This window comes from Homo sapiens, chromosome 5 (assembly GCF_000001405.40).
Source record: "Homo sapiens chromosome 5, GRCh38.p14 Primary Assembly".
Lineage (NCBI taxonomy): Eukaryota > Metazoa > Chordata > Mammalia > Primates > Hominidae > Homo > Homo sapiens.
The window spans coordinates 169,901,648-169,919,461 of record NC_000005.10 but is presented as its reverse complement, the minus strand read 5'-3'; the positions used below and the strand labels follow the sequence as shown (position 1 = coordinate 169,919,461).

At 42.8% G+C, this 17,814-nt stretch overlaps 2 protein-coding genes across 9 annotated transcripts in view, besides 1 other annotated feature; one reads left to right on the top strand and one right to left on the bottom strand.

The window, feature by feature from the left end:
• Positions 1–17,814, bottom strand: part of DOCK2 (dedicator of cytokinesis 2) — a 446,108-nt gene that overhangs the window by 163,921 nt on the left and 264,373 nt on the right. The gene's annotated exons all lie outside the window — the stretch shown is intronic.
• Positions 1–17,814, top strand: part of INSYN2B (inhibitory synaptic factor family member 2B) — a 119,193-nt gene that overhangs the window by 61,034 nt on the left and 40,345 nt on the right. The window lies entirely within an intron of this gene.
• Positions 11,673–12,402: an enhancer, noted in NCBI's record as "NANOG hESC enhancer chr5:169334064-169334793 (GRCh37/hg19 assembly coordinates)". NCBI's record gives its function as "activates a minimal SCP1, AML or CMV promoter by ChIP-STARR-seq in naive H9 embryonic stem cells {active_cell/tissue: H9 hESC(naive)}" and the evidence as "EXISTENCE:reporter gene assay evidence [ECO:0000049][PMID:30033119]".

Below are 17,814 nucleotides of genomic sequence, written 5' to 3'. Positions count from 1 at the left end.
ATGATACTGGCCATTACTTTTTAGTTGGGGATTTAAGGGGAGTAAAATTTGATGAGTGTGAATTAGTTTGTGTCCAGCCATTTATTTCCATCTATGGAGGGAAGGCAACGCAGTAAATCTTCATAAACCTTCAAGGAGAGCATTGTCCAGACAGTGAGAAAGAAACTGGGTGTCAGGAGACTCATTTGGGCCCCACCTCTGCCCCATATCGATGGTGTGACCCTGGAAAACTTATGCAGCTTCTCAAGGCCTCAGTTACTTCAATTCAAAACAATGAACTGAGCAACATCACCTCTGGAACATAGTTTTAAGTTTTAAATTACATTTAAAATAAATGATCAATTCCACAAGCAATCAAAGATCATAGTGTCCTTAGGAAAAGGCTGAAATATTATGGTTAAAGTCACCCTTGACCACCATATTGAATCCAAACCCATCACTTCTATCCAACATAACCCTTGTTACTGGTTTATAAATGTCTTTCCATTTTTCATCTTACATACTCATATATCTGGCCCCTAAAATATCTTTTAAATTAGTTTGTATTTTTTTGAGACAAAGTCTTGCTCTGTCGTCCGGGCTGGAATGCAGTGGTATGATCTTGGCTCACTGCAACTGCCTCCCAGATTCAAGCAATCCTCCTGCCTCAGCCTCCCGAGTAGCTGGGATTACTGGTACCTGCCACCACGCCTGGTTAATTTTTGTATTTTTAGTAGAGACGGGGTTTCACCATGCTGGTCAGGCTGGTCTCAAACCCCTGAACTCAGGTGATCCTCTCGCCTCGGCCTCCCAAAGTGCTGGGATTACAGGCATGAGCCACTGCACCTGGTCTAGTTTGCATTTTTAAAGTAACCTAAACAGTATCATATTGGACAATATTCTAAAGATTATTTATTTCCCCTCAGGACATGTCTAGAAGATTTGTCTATTTCACCACATATGGATCCATCTCAGTCTTTTAACTGTGAGATGATGCTCTCAGCATGAATATTCTGTAGTTCATTTGGCCATTCTTCTAGTGTGCATGCATGTGGTTTCCTATGTTGTGATTTATAAACAGTGCTACAGTAACCTCCTTGTACATGTGTGTGAGTAATTTTCTAGGTTAGATACTGAGCAGAAGAATCGCTGGGTTATATATAGGCAGAGTATAATTTATTACTCAAACCACAACATTTTGAGAGATAGTAATAATTATACCAGTATCGCAAATATAAACTGGGACTGTCCTAGACAAAACAGGATGTGCAGTCTCCCAAGACAAGGATCATATGTGGTTTCTGTATTTTTAAAATTTTAATAGTAACAAATGCCATCCAAAGCAAATTGAACAGGATATTTTTAAGCTTTCAAATTCTACTAAGGTTTGACTTTTTCCCCCAAAATAGGAAGGGTAGAATATCAGAAGTTTATGCTAATCCTCAGATCCCAGCTAAATACCTTTCCTTGCTGAAAGGCAGAATTCTGTAACGAGAACACACATTAGCTCAGGGCTCCTTTCAGTCCTGGTTTTGATAGTTTGTAAGTCCCTCTGCCCTGAAATGAGACACCATTCTTTATTTAATGTCCCATTTCAGTTTCCAGAATGAAATACCAGTGGAAAGGGAAGACCAGCTTTAGCACAATAACTCCTCCTTAATTACCAGTCTTATCTCTCCACTGCAAGGTCATCATTTTCTGTGTGGTAGGGCCAGAAAAAATCCCTTTCTGAGTGTGACATTATGTCTTCTGTCATCTTCAATTATCTTCCCTGTGGACCTACCCTAGGGACATGTTCTCCCCTTCATTTCTCTTTCTATGCATGTCTGATTCCTTTGGGACTTTCTAGTGTTTCGCAATCACCAAAAAACAGCAAGCAATCGATTAGAAAATCATCAACAAACAACATTCAATTTTCATTTTATCCTACACTTCTCTTGATGGGAAGTCAAAGGTCTTCCACAGAGCCTCAGCTATGATGATTTCATTATCAAAAAATAATCTGCTCCACTGATAGTCACAGTAATTAAAAAGCACTAGAGCTCAAACTTTGCACCAAAGGAAACTCTAGAATCCCTATTTTTACTACTGGAAAAAAATCTCTAAGCAATGAGGGCTACTGGTGTCAGGGTGCAAAACAAACAAATGGAGTCAATTCATTCATTGGTATTTATTGACACTTGGGTGTCATGGGAGATGAGCAATTATATTGGCCTGGTCTACTAGGAGTTTATAATGTGGTTGTGGAATCAACCCTAGTGAGAATGACTGAGAATGAGGTGGCAAGAATCACCTGGAATCCCTACCCAGATTGGTTGCTGTGAATTTTCCTTCACTAAAAAAGGTTGTCTTTTGTCCAAAGAAATGCTGAGATTTGGTGGCTTGATCATACGTCAACTCCACTGACTTTAAGCTGTGAGTAGTAAGAGAGGCATATAGGTGCCCATTTTCTGCCTCAGGCTCTCTGAGATCCACCATATTTGCAATGAACGAATTCAGTCCTGGATTTGGAAGAGTAATGACGATGGCTATTTGCATTTCTTTACAGCATAGTGGCTAAAATTATGGGTTCCAGAGACTGTTGCTTGCTTTCAAATCTAGGCCCCATTACTTACTAGCTATGTGACTTGGGCATATTACTAACATTTCTACACTCCAGTTTTCTCAACTGAAAATAAAGGTAATAATATTACCTTGTATATTCTGAAAATCAAATGACTTATATATGCCAAATTCTTGTACTGGTGCCTGGCACATAAAATGGACCAAAATACTGGCTGTTGTTATTAAAAAGTCTCTCATATTTTGAAAAGTTACCAATCCCTAACCTAATACCTACTATGTGCCAGGTACTCTTCTAAGCACTTTAAATATATTAACTTGTTTCATCCTATGAAGGAGGTACTATCATTGTCTCCACTTTATAAATAAGGGAGGCACAGGAAGGTTGCCCAATAGCTAGTCAGTGGCAGAGCCATGGTTCCAATTCTAGCGTCCATCCCCTTCATCACTTTGCTATGCTGCTCTCACTCTCTAAGTGCATTTGTCCCCATGGCAAGGTTTCTTCAGCTCCAGAACAGGGGTGATAGGAGGGCCAGAAATTGACTAAGACATTGATGAGCCTGATGAAAGGCCACCTGTCAAAGTGGCTGGTTCCTTAGATCCATGCATGTGCAGACACAAATCCCAAGTCACAGGCTCCTGTTGGACAAACACACCTAGAATTATTTTGTCCCACATTTCAGAGGTAACTTGTTTAGAAGAGGTTCCGTATGAATCCCACACTCTTAAAAGACTCTATTTTCAGAATTTAAGCAGCTTCTGCTTCTGCCCGGTAGAGTAAATCCCGGGAATCAGGAAGACCTCAAATCTAGTTTGAATTCTCATTAACTGCCTGGCAATCCTCTATTCAGCCCTCTGAGTTCCCATACTTCTAATCTAAACATGAGAAAATGAGAAAGGGAGAATCTGAGAACATTTGTAATATTTCTGGTCTAGTGTGACATGTTTTTTATCATCTTACAGAATTCAGCATAACGTTTCTTAAGAGTAGGATTTTCCCTGATACATTGTTTTTCTAAACCAATGTATACCATTTAATCAGATTTGCTATGGGGATCAAATCCCAAGTCATCAATCTCACACCTGCATTTCTTAGATTTATGTACCAGCTCAGTTTTGGGATATCATTGATTTCCATATGTAGACTCTTCAGTAAAACACTTTGCTCATTGGCCCTTGATGGTTTAAAATGGCTGAATTGACTATGCTGACAATTGCCTTTAAATGTTGAAAATAGATCTAAATAATGAACATCAGTGGAGAAATAATCTGTTCAGTCTCTGTCTGTCTCTGTCTCTCTCTCTCCCCTCCCTCCCTCTGTGTGTGTGTGTGTGTGTGTGTGTGTGTGTGTGTGTGTGTGTGTTCCCTGTCAATTCCTCAAATATTTTCTCTATATAGCCAGGCAAATTGGAAATGAGTCAAAATCATTAAAACATCTGAGATTCAATATATTAGTTACATGACCTTGGGTAAATGACTTAATCTCTTTGGTTTTCAGTTTTCCACCAGCAAAATGGGAGCAGTGGGTTAAATGAAATAGACAAACACAATAAGCCTGCAATTAATATTAGTGCTTACTGGTGCTTTTGCTGATGATTTTGAGTAAAGATTTTCAAAGTACCAAAAACTAACTTTAAAACTGGTAATAATTAGCATTATTCCTCCAAATATTACACAGCCTTTATTTGCTTTTACCCGAAAGTTCTCTCCTTATTCATTTCTGATTTGTTTGGCTTCCACCAGAGACAACTTCTGATTTTCTAGTTTTGTTAGTTTTATCCACTTGTGCTAAATCTCTTGAAATTTTCAAGTAGTGGGGCCTCAACATCAAGGCCTAGAATTGATTCTAAGTGGCTCTGGGGTGAAGACAGCTGGTCGCTGTCCAGGGACTGACTGTGCTGTGAGTTTGCCTTGCAATGATGGAGCCTCCTCTGGGGTCAGGCAGATTCTCTTTGTCTGGCTGCCAGCTCTGGGCAGGCGCTGCCTGTGGGAAGAGGCCACAGCAATGCACAGGAAGCCAGACAACAACAGTTATGTCAGTCTGTGAAGGGACTTTGTAGATCATTTACTCCATGGGATGCAAAAGTGTCTATAGAGGTCAACAGATCATGTACATGAGTGTAGCTGGCTGGGCATGAGAAGGCATGGTTGAGGCAAAGGTGGCTAAAAGACCCTGCCCCACCAGAAGGCTACAGAACTGCTCCTCCTGCAGGGATTGATGCCTTAGATGGGGATGTGGGCCCAGGTTACTACTAAGATGCCAGAAATCCAGGTTGTTTTCTATGTGGAAACTCTTGATCTTAAAATGCTACCAATGAATTCAATTTTTAAGACACTGTGCAGGCCAGATTAGATATAACCATTTCCCATATCTGCCAGTTTTAACATTCTGATTTAGCCTTGGTCTTTTGAATCCAAGTTCAGAGTTCTCCAATAATCAATCCCTCCACCCAAAACTGAAAGCCCCATAAAACAGGAGCCTGTTGGTCTGGTTCACGGATATTCCCCAAGAGCAGTTCCTGGCTCAGAGTAGGCACTTAGTATTGTATTCTTTTCTGAATGAAGGAATCAGTGAGATTAACCAAAGAAAGGTTTAGGAAGAGAATATCTATATGGGTTATGAAAGAATCAGAAAGAATGGGGTAAGGTGAATTGAGTTTTAGAACATAGTATGAGGAGAGCATCAAGTTGAAAAATCCACAAATTTTGGGAACTGGGGAGAGTTAGGTCAAAGAGAAGAAAGGAGCTTTGTTGGAGCCAAGGTTTGCTTTGAAGGGTTGTCTTCAGGATGTATAATATCTATACAAAAGGCGTTCTGAGGGACCAGAGCATGCATATTTTTTCTTCAGTCAAAAGCTTCATTTGAAAGGGCATCTTTAGTAAACATCTTTGGGTGTCCATCAAAGTCTATTAGTAAACTGCTGTGTGATATGGGTCAGGACACGTGAGTTTTCTGAGCCTATTTCTTCATCTGTAGAAATGGACACAATCTCATTTTCTTTATCATCTTGGCAACTGGAATTTAGGATTAAAAGAGATAATGTCCTCTAAGCTTCTTGCTCAGTATACAAAAAGTTCTTAAATGGGATCAACATTGTAGTTGTTATTCTAATAGCGAAGCATCTAATTCCTCATTGATCAAAAATAAGAGGGTTAGACCAATTAGATCACTTTGTAGACCTAATTTGGCTAGAAAATGTCCAGGCAGAGGGCGTGGTAAGACTGCACTTTCTCCACTGAATTTCACAACAAAGTGTGAAATAGCTCTGCTCATAAGCTGCATACTCCCAGAAAGCCAAGAGCATACAAACCACTGCAGATATCAGGGAATTTCAATATGTTTATTTTTATTTTTGTTTTATTTCAAATTTTCTAGAGCTCCTTTTGAGTAATGCATTTAAACACCATCTCCCAACAAGTCAAAGAAGCCAGTAGAAAATAGGACCAAACAGTACTTTACTGCCAGGGAGTTTCCTTGGCAATGAGCTTGTTCTATTCCCAGGGTGTTTTTGGAGAAAGAGGAGGGGAGGTGAATTATAAACAGGTTCTAGGGAGCTTCTATATAGTTCTAGCCATAGATCAGGCTGATAAATAAAACTCAGGCAGAGTGGAATTGAAGTGAAACAACTTTCTGTACAAAGAGAAAGATTATCTCTACTCTTGGGATGAGTAGAGCCGAATAGTTTCCATCAGGAACTGCAAAGCTCTATAAACTTCAATAGCACATTCCGACTCCGCTAGAACACTAATGAAATTGTGAAAGTATAGTTGTCCTTTAAATGTTTGTGCCTGAAGTTATGACCTGTTTCAAATGACAGGAAACTAGAGACAACACTTTAATGGTTATGAATGCATTTAGAAAGAAGGCTTGCTGTCTAATGAGTGTGGAGAAGGCACTACAATTGAGGAACAATTTACTACCAAGAAATCAATTTGAAAATTCTATACAAAATTATCACCCATTAAATTGTCTTTCTTCAAAACTGCAGACCCTAAAATGTTACTTCTAGACAAGGAATTTTACAAACAATAAATGCTAATTAAGTAATCTATTCAAATGAGTTGATTGAAAAAAAAAAGAAGTACCTCCTAGAAAAAAAAAATCTCAACACTCTGGTTATACTGCTGCTCCTGCTGCTGCCACCCTGCTATGTTTGATCCTCCTTTCTTTACCAAAAACTACATGGCATTGGACAATAAGCTGGACCACTCCATTTTCCTACTACCTTCATACATTATGGGTATAATGCAACATGAATGAATGTACCCACCTGCATCTCACACACACACACACACACATACACTCCACCACACACAGTGGCACATAAAGAATTCTGTTTACAACGTAATGGTTTTAAGTGGAAAGAAAGTTATGGATTGGAGTAGTTATTAAGACAGGGGAGAATGCTGATGTCTCAATAAGACCCTAAGAAAACACATATGTGCACACACACATACACGTGCCAAAAGATGAATTTGTGTGTGGCTAAGACTATTAAAGACCCTTCGCAAGTAGAGCAACAATCCTGAAAGCCAATAGACAATGATAAGAAAGGGCATGTAAATAAGAGCCACCCTTCAACCAAGGAACCCAATACACTTGTAAATCAAACATAAATAACGGCTTGGGCTCAGGAGTTTGACATCAGCCTGGGCAACACAGTGAGACCCCATTTTCTAAATAAATAAATAAAATAATAAATAAATAAAAGCCTGGCCTATAACTGAAAGACAAAACAAAAGAAGAAAGAAGGAGAAGAAAAAATAATAGTCGCTTTCCTTTTTTTATACCCAGGGTCCCTTGTATCACCAAGAGTGGCTCAGTGGATGCCATTGTCTCAAAGAGCAAGGTGCTTTGGTTGTTCAACAGCCTGATGTGCATAGGTACGCAGTTAGCCCATGCCCTCTAGTGTTAGGGATCTTGGCTTATGCAATCATTCTAGAGAGAACAATTTCAACCTAGGAAACATCATGGAAATGAAAACAGAAAGATATTTAATAGCCCCATGAGACTCTGGTAGTGAAGATGACAGTGGGGCATTATTTTTCCCAGCAGTTGGTAGAAAACACTTCCCTCCCTTTATTTTCTTTCCTGGCATCTAGGCTTTCCGTGGAACTTGCTGATGTAACTTGGTGACCCAATATGCCACCTGTCTTGTGTTGGTTTTGCACAATCAGATAAAGGGTTTGAAGTCAATTTTTACCATCTCTGTAGCACCAACTTCTTGGCTAATTATAGGAAACTTTAATATTGTGGCCTTTAACTTGAAGGCAGACAGAAAAGAATTGAATATGAGTATTGATTTAGCACCACGTGAAATGAAGCCTGAAGGGTATTATGTCCTCATAAAGTATAATTACTCCTAAAGTTTTATCTCAAACTGTCTCAGGAACTCTCACCAGCAGGTAATAAACAGACTTGGAAAAATGTCACTGGCCACATTAAACATCCCCAGTCTGGACATGGAGGGCAATCTTATGTACAGCTCAGTGTAGTGGGAACAGCTCTAGGTTCTAAAAGCTCCACTGGCTCTGATGTCCTGTGAACGCCATAGCATGAAAAGAGAAGTGAAGGAGAGTTCTCTAATAAACAGAAATTCATACACGATTGGTATGTGTGTGGAATGCAGCAGAGGCGTAATAAGGATCTGAGAAAGGCATGAAACTCTAATAATGATCATCCTTTTTTTCTTATCCTCTGTTTCAAAGCACAGCACATACCTGACCTGTTAAATCAACTGGCCGACTAGGGGCCATTTTGTCAGTGAAAAATAATAAAATAAAATAAAAACATTAATGAAGAAATAAACCTAGAAAAGAACTGATGTCACTGAGATTTAGTGGCCAGAACAACAGCTGCCTGCTAGTGGACCAACGAGCATCAGCAAAGGTAGAAATGCTTTTCCTGGGGCCTTGGAGGCACCTGAGGGTTTCACTTATTATTCTCACTTCCAAGTGGCTCATACCCCAGATATAGGAAGGACTCAGAAATTGTGCCTTGTGAGGATAGTGTTCTGAGGACAAATGGTTAACCAACCCCCTGCAGGAGAAACCGACTAGGTGGGCTGGAGAGAGCCTACTGGGGGCTGGAGCCAGTGACTGACCTCACCAGAAGCAGAAGGGGCACCTGCCATTTCTCAAGAAAGCTGTGACCTAAAAAGTTTAGTCATCAGTCCAAATTCCTCCAGGAGACCATTAGAAACTGCCTCTCTGTTTCCCTGAGTCTTGTAGCTAGAGATGTAACAGGTCATTTTGGGGACTTCATTGCCGTGGCCCCTGCTGGGTCATCTGCTGTGAACATGACATATCGTTTTCACTCAGTGCCAAACACTTAGTGCAGTGAACCTCGGAGGAGCTCCCTGGGCACACAGGGAAAGGATGCTGAAAACAGGTCAGTCATGTTTTATGAATCAGGCCTGAGAAAAGGTAAGCACGCCTCCAACCACAGGCGGCACAATCAATCTGCTGATCTTTTTTTAAAAAGTTAAGAGAGTAAGCAATAAATCAGCACTGAGGGGGTAGATCCTCTGCCATCGAACTGTCTTGAGATGCAATTTTAAATGACTTTGTAGTGACCTTGCTTACCTAATTACAGGGCTCAAAAGAGATCTTCCTTACATATTCCATGCGGTGGTAACCGGCTTGGAACAATGTCCTGTTTGTCTCAGATGGCCACTTCTAACATGAAAGGCCTGTCTGATGACTGTCCTCTTCTTTGCAAATGGACAGACTTGGGATCTGGATCTGCGGTACTAATCATCTAGAACTGAGAGAGCCATCTGGGCCAGGAACATATGGCTCAGCTAACACCAGGCCACAGACATGGAAATAAGCCTGGCTTTGGTGCCATTCAGAGTAAACATTAAGTGTCCTCATGGCAAATTTGTTCCAATGGCTGAGAGAAAGGCACCCTGATGACTTGCAGAGTCATTAAAAAAAATGCTGGTGCAGAATTTGAGTGGCATTTTGTGGCTCAAGCTGCACAAGGGTCAATTGTGGGACTGAGAAGAAAAGAGAGGATTAGCCCCAAGTAAACAACTCAGTGATATTCACCATAAAGTATGTCTCAGGTGATTTTCCCACTGTTTATCTACTCAGACCATTCTAGAAGTTCCAAATCTGGATGATAATAATCCTTGTAAGTGATCATCTTGGATTGTATTTTATTCACAGTGACACTGGCTTTGGGATAGAACCAAAATTCTGTTTGTTGAGGACTCACAGTGCAGAGTAAAGTAGATGTATTATAGGTTTAGAGGGCAGATTTGAGTTTGAATTCTTGCTCTGCAACTTAGAAGATATGTATGTTGGTCAAGTAACTAAACCTGTTTCTTAATCCAAAAGAAACATTTTGCAGATAATAATACTCACCTTGCAGGACTGACATAAAGATAAGCACAGGGAAATATTCCCACTCTGGTACCTGATGGAGTGTGAATCCAAAACCAAATATTTAGACTTTCTTCTTCAAAAAGAAAAAACTTAGATTTTTTTAAATTCATTGCAAATTGGATAGCATCTTTCTGAAATATTCTATGTCCCACTGATTTCATTTCCTTAATCACTCTGATCCAGTGCTACTGAATAGAAAGAAATGTTCTATACTGTTGAACATGGTAGCCACCAGCAACACTGGGCTATTAGCACTTGAAATGCAGCTAATGTGACCCAGGAACTAAAATTTTAATTAATTTAAATTTAGATAGCTTCATGTGGTACAAGGTTCCCATACTGGACAGCACATCATAGCTGAGCCCTGATAGATAAAGAATGAAGGCTTTAGAAATGGAGGCACAGCAAAGGTGATGAAATCATCCACAGACTCTCCTCACATCAGCAGCAGCTACTGAAAGCAGGCAGCCTGGCTCAGCCTCGCTCACATTCACTCTAGGGGCTGACAATTATGACAGAAATAGCACCAGACAGTGGCTCTCTCTGCCAGAGGCAAGTTCTGTGACCTTGGACATAATTCCTAATTTTTCTGAACCTGTTTTCTCATCTGCAAAATGGGGCTAATGCCTCAGGGTTGTTTTGAAGGTGAAATGCAATAATGTAGTGGGGGCCTGTAGTCCCAGTTACTCAGGAGGCTGAGGCAGGAGAATTGCTTGAACCTGGGAGGCAGAGGTTGCAGTGAGCTGACATCACACCACTGCACTCTATCCTGGGCGACAGAGTGAGACTCGGTCTCAAAAAAAAAAAAAAAAAAAGAAAAAAGAAAAGAGAAAAATGCATTGAAACCTGTAAAATGAAGAACAACTACAAACATAGTTCACTGTATCCTTAGTTTTGCAACATTGGTCATGATTCCATATTGCAATATGTTGCTTGGCATTTATAGATAGACAAAAACGTCCAGGACCCATATGCTTTAAGGATTTATTTTCCTCTAGCAGGTGGGAACCTATTTGTGTTCATTTCTCTATTCATTCCAATCCTTGCCCATCTCATAACTTGGGGGCCATATTCAGAAGACCAAATGTCATGATTTGGGGATTAGTTTTAAAACATGGAGCAGGGGAAAGCATATTCTTAGAGCATGTATGAGTATGCCTATATGCATGTGAGTAATCAGAATTATATTTGCAAATAACACAAGAATCGCATGTGCTTATATACTTTATTGATTTGCCTCAGCTGTTCAAAATGTCCCAATAAATCTAGTTGCCACCAAGGGACCAGCTATAAAAATAAAACTGAGCTTAAATTAAAGGTGAAGCTATTAACATTTGTCCTGCAGCCTGTAAGGCATTAATGAATTCCTTTCTGGCATTAGTGAACTTGAACCTTAACTGAAATGGGGCTGCAGAATACATTGGGCTTTCCCTTGCTCTGTTGTTCAATGAAAGCTTTTCCTGGGGATGGCTTGATCTAAATTGTTCCATCACAGCTTCTAGATGAAGGCAGAGCAAGAGAGGAGATAAAGACAACACTTCAGTGGAGACTGGGAATATTGTACAAAATGCAAAATGTTTTGGCAAGAAGTGCCTGCACAAGAGATGTTTACCGACACGGACTGGCCAACGGTTCCTGTGTGTTGTAGGATGTTTAGAGCATCCCTGCCCTCTACCCACTAGATGCCAGTAGCACCCCCTCCCAGTTGTGGCAAACAAAAATGTCTCCAGACTTTTCCAAATGTCCCTGTAAGGTTGCAGAGTGGGGGCAAAGTCACCCCTAGTTGAAAACCACTGCTCTAGAGAAAGTCAGGCCTGGTTCATTTCCCCCTCTGCCATTTTCCAGCTGTGTGATCTTGAGCAAGAATTTGACCTCTCTGAGCCTTAATTTTCTTGTGTGTAGAACAGAGGTAATTGAACTTTCCAACATACTGGGTTGTTTGTGAGGATTCAATTAGATAATGCCTGTAAAGCCTCTGCCACTATGACTGGCAACTAGTCTTCGCTAAGTGGTGGTTACCATTATCATTAACTACTTTGACTTTCTAAAATGTTCCAAGCAAACAAGCCACAGATTTTAGCTGCTTCTCTGCAGGAGCCCAATTATCAGCCACTTAAACCCAGCAGAGAGTAAACAGGAACTAGACTAGAACTGGCCAGAGGATCTTTCCAAGAGCTCCCTTCTAGAAATACATGGTTACTGCCTCCAGATGAAAGCAGAATCTTCTCCTAAAATTGGGCGTGTTCATCTGACTTGGGCACATCGCTGTATCTTCAGTATCCCTAAGAATGACGCAAACCAAATGCAAAATCAAGTTGCCTGCCAATAAGCAGAAAATATTTCACTGGTGACCAAAATGCCTCAGCAGCCATCAGATATGGGTCCCAGATGCATCCCCGGCCATATCTTTCGATTGATTTCAACTGGCGTTCCTAAAACCTCATATTTATGTTTGGCATCTTTTCACCTACAGGATTGTGACAGACCATAAGCTCAGTGAGAGCAGGGACCCTGCTCTGTTCACTGCTGTAGTCCCAGTCCCTAGGACAGTGCCTGACTCATAGCAGAACTCAATAAATATTTATTGAATGATAGTATTTCCCTCTAGACAGCATTTGCTTTCTCAGCACCATCAGCACCAGCCTCATGCACATTTCCAGCAGGACAGAGGCGGCTAGCAGTCTTTCTACTTCAGGCCCTAATTTCCCTATAGACTTTCCAGAGCTTAAACCAGAACCACCCTTCAATTCTTTCTGACAGTAAAGCAAGGAGGTCAGGAATGGTCTTCCCTGTGATTTGGCAGAAAGATAATGGGCTTAGATGACTGGTCAATCCCAGCTCCAGCTCAGGTATGTGACTTTCATCAAGGTAATTTGTCACAGCAAAACTCAGTTTTGGCCAGGCATGGGTGGCTCATACCCGTAACCCCAGCACTTTGGGAGGCTAAGGCAGGAGGATAGCTTGAACCCAGGAACTTAAGACCAGCCTGGGAAACATAGGGAGACCCTGTCTCTACAAATAAAATGAAATAACATAACATAACGTAACAAAATAAAATAAATTTTAAAAATCTAAAAATCTCAGTTTGCTCCTATGTTAGAAGTGGGGATAACAGTACCAAGCCCAAATGATGGTGGTTTTAATTGAGATGAACGCCCGTTTGCTGGCTAATGCTTATTGAATGCTGGCCATGTGCACACACTGGCTTGGGAGCCTTTGAAATAATCAGTAGTCAGTACTATGATCATACTCATTTTACATATGAGGAAACTGAGGCTCTCTTAGCTGACAGTAAAGCTTGCGTTTGACGTCAGAAAGAACTTTCTGACTATCCACGGCCCCGGGCACAATGCCTGGCATGTAGTAATCGCTCATTGAGGATTTACTGCACGAATGAATGTAAAGAAGGTCGAACTCAGGACCGTTTGGTAACTCTTAGTGTAAGAAAAATGTCTTTGCATTCATTTATAATTAGTACCCCATCTACTTCCAACCAGTCAACACCTGCTGAGATATTAAACCTTGTGTAAGAGAAAATGTTGATGGGTAAAGTAGAATAGAGGCTTTCTGAACGAAGGCAACAGACATTTTAGATACAGTCAGGTTCAAGACAGCTGTTTTTAGGAAATCAGCTTGACTGTGAATGAATGTTTAGACATCCTCTTGTCAGAAAGTAAATCTTCCTGGCTGCTACATCTGCCCCAAAGTGTTCTCACTTTGTTCAAGTCCAAAAAGGACAGAGGACCAATCGCAGCTGTGGTGAGCCCTGCACACCTGGGTGGTTTGCAGTTCCTGGGTGCAGACGCTGCCATTTAGTGGCCCCTCCCAGAGGTGCTGTATGACAGCACACAGCCTGGATGGTTTGTCCAGTCCCTGCCTACCCCACACCCATCCCTCTCTATTTCAGTTCCATTCTGGACATCATTCAAGCCCGTATACAGGACTTGAAGAGCGAGTGACATTACCCTCAGAGAGGTGGGGGCATTAAATTATTTTGCCACAAACTGTCCTCTCCCAACATACTCTGCCTGGCAGCCTCGAGCTATTTATACTGAGGACCCAATTTTAAACCACTTCTTGCAGAAAGAAAAAGCAAGAGGTTGCCAAGGGGCAGCTGGCTTTCAGATGTGTTTGGTTTGCCCCCAGATGATTTTAAAAGCTTAATTCAGTCTCCAACATTTAAAAGTTGGGATATTTAACACAGAGTTCTGGCTTCTCCTGAAAAAAAAAAAAAACACTGGCTCTAACAGTACTGCTCCTGGGTTTCATTCACCAACTGGGGCTGCAGCTGACAGCAGGGGTCCCCTTTGTGGCACATTTCTCTCTGCCTAGCTTGCTCCCAGCTGGCTTCACCCACTTGTGTCACCCTGAAGCCATGTGAGTTTGCAACCCTTCCTAAACCCACTGTAGAAAATACATGCCAGCACCTCATATTTACTGAGCACTCTGCACGGCCTCCCTGAATCCTGACCTCAGCCCCATGAGAGTGTCATGACTACTATCTTCATTTTCATATGAGTGACTGAGGCTCAGGGAGGTTCAGTTGCTTAGTCAAGGTCACACAGCTAGGGAGTGGCAGAGCTGGGATTCAAACCCGGGTCTCTCGGGTTCCAGAGCCGGTTTCTTCCCTCACACTGAGCTGCTCCAGCCGTGGAGCAGTGAAGGTGCCATAGTCTTCTGGGCAGGCCCTCCCACACAGAAATGTGTTGCTACTAGGAGTGACTTGGGGATTAGCAAACCCACAAATTAGCTCCATACAGTGTCACTGATGGAAATTCCAATGTAGCTAATACAGTTAATGCTCGCTGAGCTGAGGCCACCCTCGGTATCTGTCAGACTTATTGTCTGTTTAAATGATGGGAAGCCTTCTTAAAGGACTGCGGGGCCCTCACTAGGGGGAGAGGCTGGTTGGAAGGCCTCCATGTGAATGAGAGAGAATGAGATGATGGTGCTGCTGAGGTCGCCAGCACTCTAAAGGCCTGAGCTCTCTGCCAACCCCTTCCCACCTCACTCCCTCAGGCCCTCCCCTGCCTGTCTGCACCCTTCCCCACCACCCCCATTAAAGGGAAGCTGCCCAGAAGTGAGACTTTGGAGAGGTGTTTGAACACACTGGTAGAAATTCCATAGACAGGTAGGTGATTTAGAGAGAACAAGTTGCTCTTTAAAAAATACAACACATCTCAGCTACTCAGCAAGCCCAGCGTTGCAAGAAAAAGGAAGGGACAACTAGCATTAAGACTGAGGGGAAAGCCCTCCTTGCTTTCAAGTACTTGCTTGAAGCCAAGCAGTACTGTCTCTTGGGAACCAAATCATCAGGCTTCTTGCCAAAGGCTAGGTCAGTATGCTGCTTTTACCCAAGAAAGTACAAAGGATCTAGGCAGCCCCAGAAAATGTCTTACCTTCTCCTCCCCTAAACTTTTTTTTTTTTTTTTTTTTTGAGACGAAGTCTTGCTCTGTTGCCCAGGCTGGAGTCAATGGAACGATCTCGGCTCACTGCAACCTCTGCCTCCCAGGCTCAAGCAATTCTCATGCCTCAGCCCTCCCGAGTAACTGGGATTACAGGACCACGCCCAGCTAATTTTTGTATTTTTTGTAGAGGCAGAGCTTCGCCATGTTGGCCAGGCTGGTCTCGAACTCCTGACCTCAGGTGATTCACCTGCCTCGGCCTCCCAAAGTGCTGGGATTACAGGCATGAGCCACTCCGCCCAGTTTCTCCTCCCCTAAAACCCACTGGAGGCTTCCACTGCTCTTAGGGTTAAGTCCAAACTTCCTGCTACAGTGACCGAGCTCTCACCCACCTTTCTCCAAACTTACTTCTTTTCTCCCCCTGCCCCGAGTAAGTTCGACCCTCTAGGAAGTCTGAACTTCTATCAGTTCCACAAAAGAGCCCTGCTTCCTCTTATCTCCATACTTGGAGGCCTTTGTACCTACTGTGTCCTGAAGTGACTTCCCTTCTCCCATCTCCCCACTTGTGCCCACCCGAACGCCCCCTGCCCCCCGGCCCCCGCTGGCTCCTACTCTCTTCCAAGCTCACAATAGACAACCCTGCCCTTGAGGAGGCTCCCTTAGCCACCAGCCTTCACACTCACACCACCACAGAAACATATCAGGGATGCATGCTGCTCCAAGGGACTCCTGCGGCACCCCGACTTCCTCTTGGTGGGTATTTACCACCCTGCTCTTAACTTTTTCCTTTTCCTTTTTTTTTTTTTTTTTTATTGTTGTTGTTGTTGTTTTTTAGAGATGGGGATCTCACTGTGTTGCTCAGGCTGGAGTGCACTGGCTATTAATAGGTGCGATCATAGCTCACTGTAGCCTCAAATTCCTGGGCTGAAAAGATCCTCCCACCTCAGCTTCCCCAGTAGCTGAGACTACAGATATGCACCATGACCACCTTACATTGAAATTCACCCCTTTCTTTCTTTTTTTTTTGAGATGGAGTCTTGCTCTGTCGCCAGGCTGGAGTACAGTGGCGTGATCTCAGCTCACTGCAACCTCCACCTCCTTTGTTCAAGCGATTCTCCTGCCTCAGCCTCCCGAGTAGCTGGGACTACAGGCATGTGCCACCACACCCAGCTAATTTTTGTATTTTTAGTAGAGACAGGGTTTCACCATGTTGGCCAAGATGGTCTCGATCTCTTGACCTTGTGATCCGCCTGCCTCGGCCTCCCAAACTGTTGGGATTACAGGCGTGAGCCACCACGCCTGGCCTCACCCCTTTCTTTTATGTCTCCCTCACTACTCTGTGGGCTCTGGGAGAATGTCTGAGCTCACTGCCGTGTCCCTAGTACCCAACCCATTTTCTGCAGATTAAGGGTGCTCAGAAGGATTTGAGGAAAAAATACAGTCAGGAATGAGGCTTCCCTCTCTGTGGAACACTCAGCATCATGCCAGGAACCCAGCTTCCCAAATGGCCCCAGGGAGCCTCAGCGGGGTGCAGTCTACAAAACAGCTGACCCTCAGTATTTCCCACTTTTCTCAACCCAGGTCAAGGCTGTCCCTTCCAGAAACCACTCTACTTGACCTTAATAGCCTGTGGCCTCTTGCTACAGAATCACGTAGTGGATAAGAGCATGACCCCTGGAGCACAAGGCCCTGCTGGACTATTCACTACTGTGGTGGCTTGGCAAAATCACTAAACTTCTTTGTGCCTCAGCTTTCTAAAATGTGGCTCACTGGGAACATGAGGATCATATAAAATAGCACAGCCTTAAAAAGATGGCCTCGTCCACAGTCACCACCAAGTGATGCTGGTTATCATTGTGCCTCTTTGCTCCTGTGACAGCTTTTCTCAGCAGTTCATCAGCTCTTTTGTAGGGGAGTTAAACACGACTAGACTAACTGGTTATTCCCCTCCTGGACTTTCCTTGACCTTTTCAGTGTTTTTGTGGTATTTCTGATAGATGGCATTAACCCTACAGATCAAGATGCAGCCTCATTTGTGTTTTTGGTTTCTGTGGTTTCCTTGGCACACAGAGAGGGAGAAACAAACCGTTTGACTGATTGGGCATCTGGGTGGTCTCTTACTTCTGAAGGCCAATGCCTGATATGGTATGGTGTACACCACTCATGCTCCAAACTTGAGGGTAGGAGAGGGCACTGTGGTCCCCAGAGCCATGTGTTCTTGCAAGGCGGCCACCATGCAGAGGAAGGGGTAGCTTCTTCTCCAACAGATGCAAGCAAACATGGTGGTAACACCATAGCACATGGCTGAGGGTCCAGAAAACCCCTCCATTTGGCTCTGGGAAAGCCTATTAGAAGCCATCATTCTAGGTGTCTCAAAATGTTGCCTTCTAAGTCAAATCCACTCAAATCAAATTAATTTCCTTTCTCTACATCTTTCCGCCTCACACTTCAACTCTAACTAATGTAATACTCAGT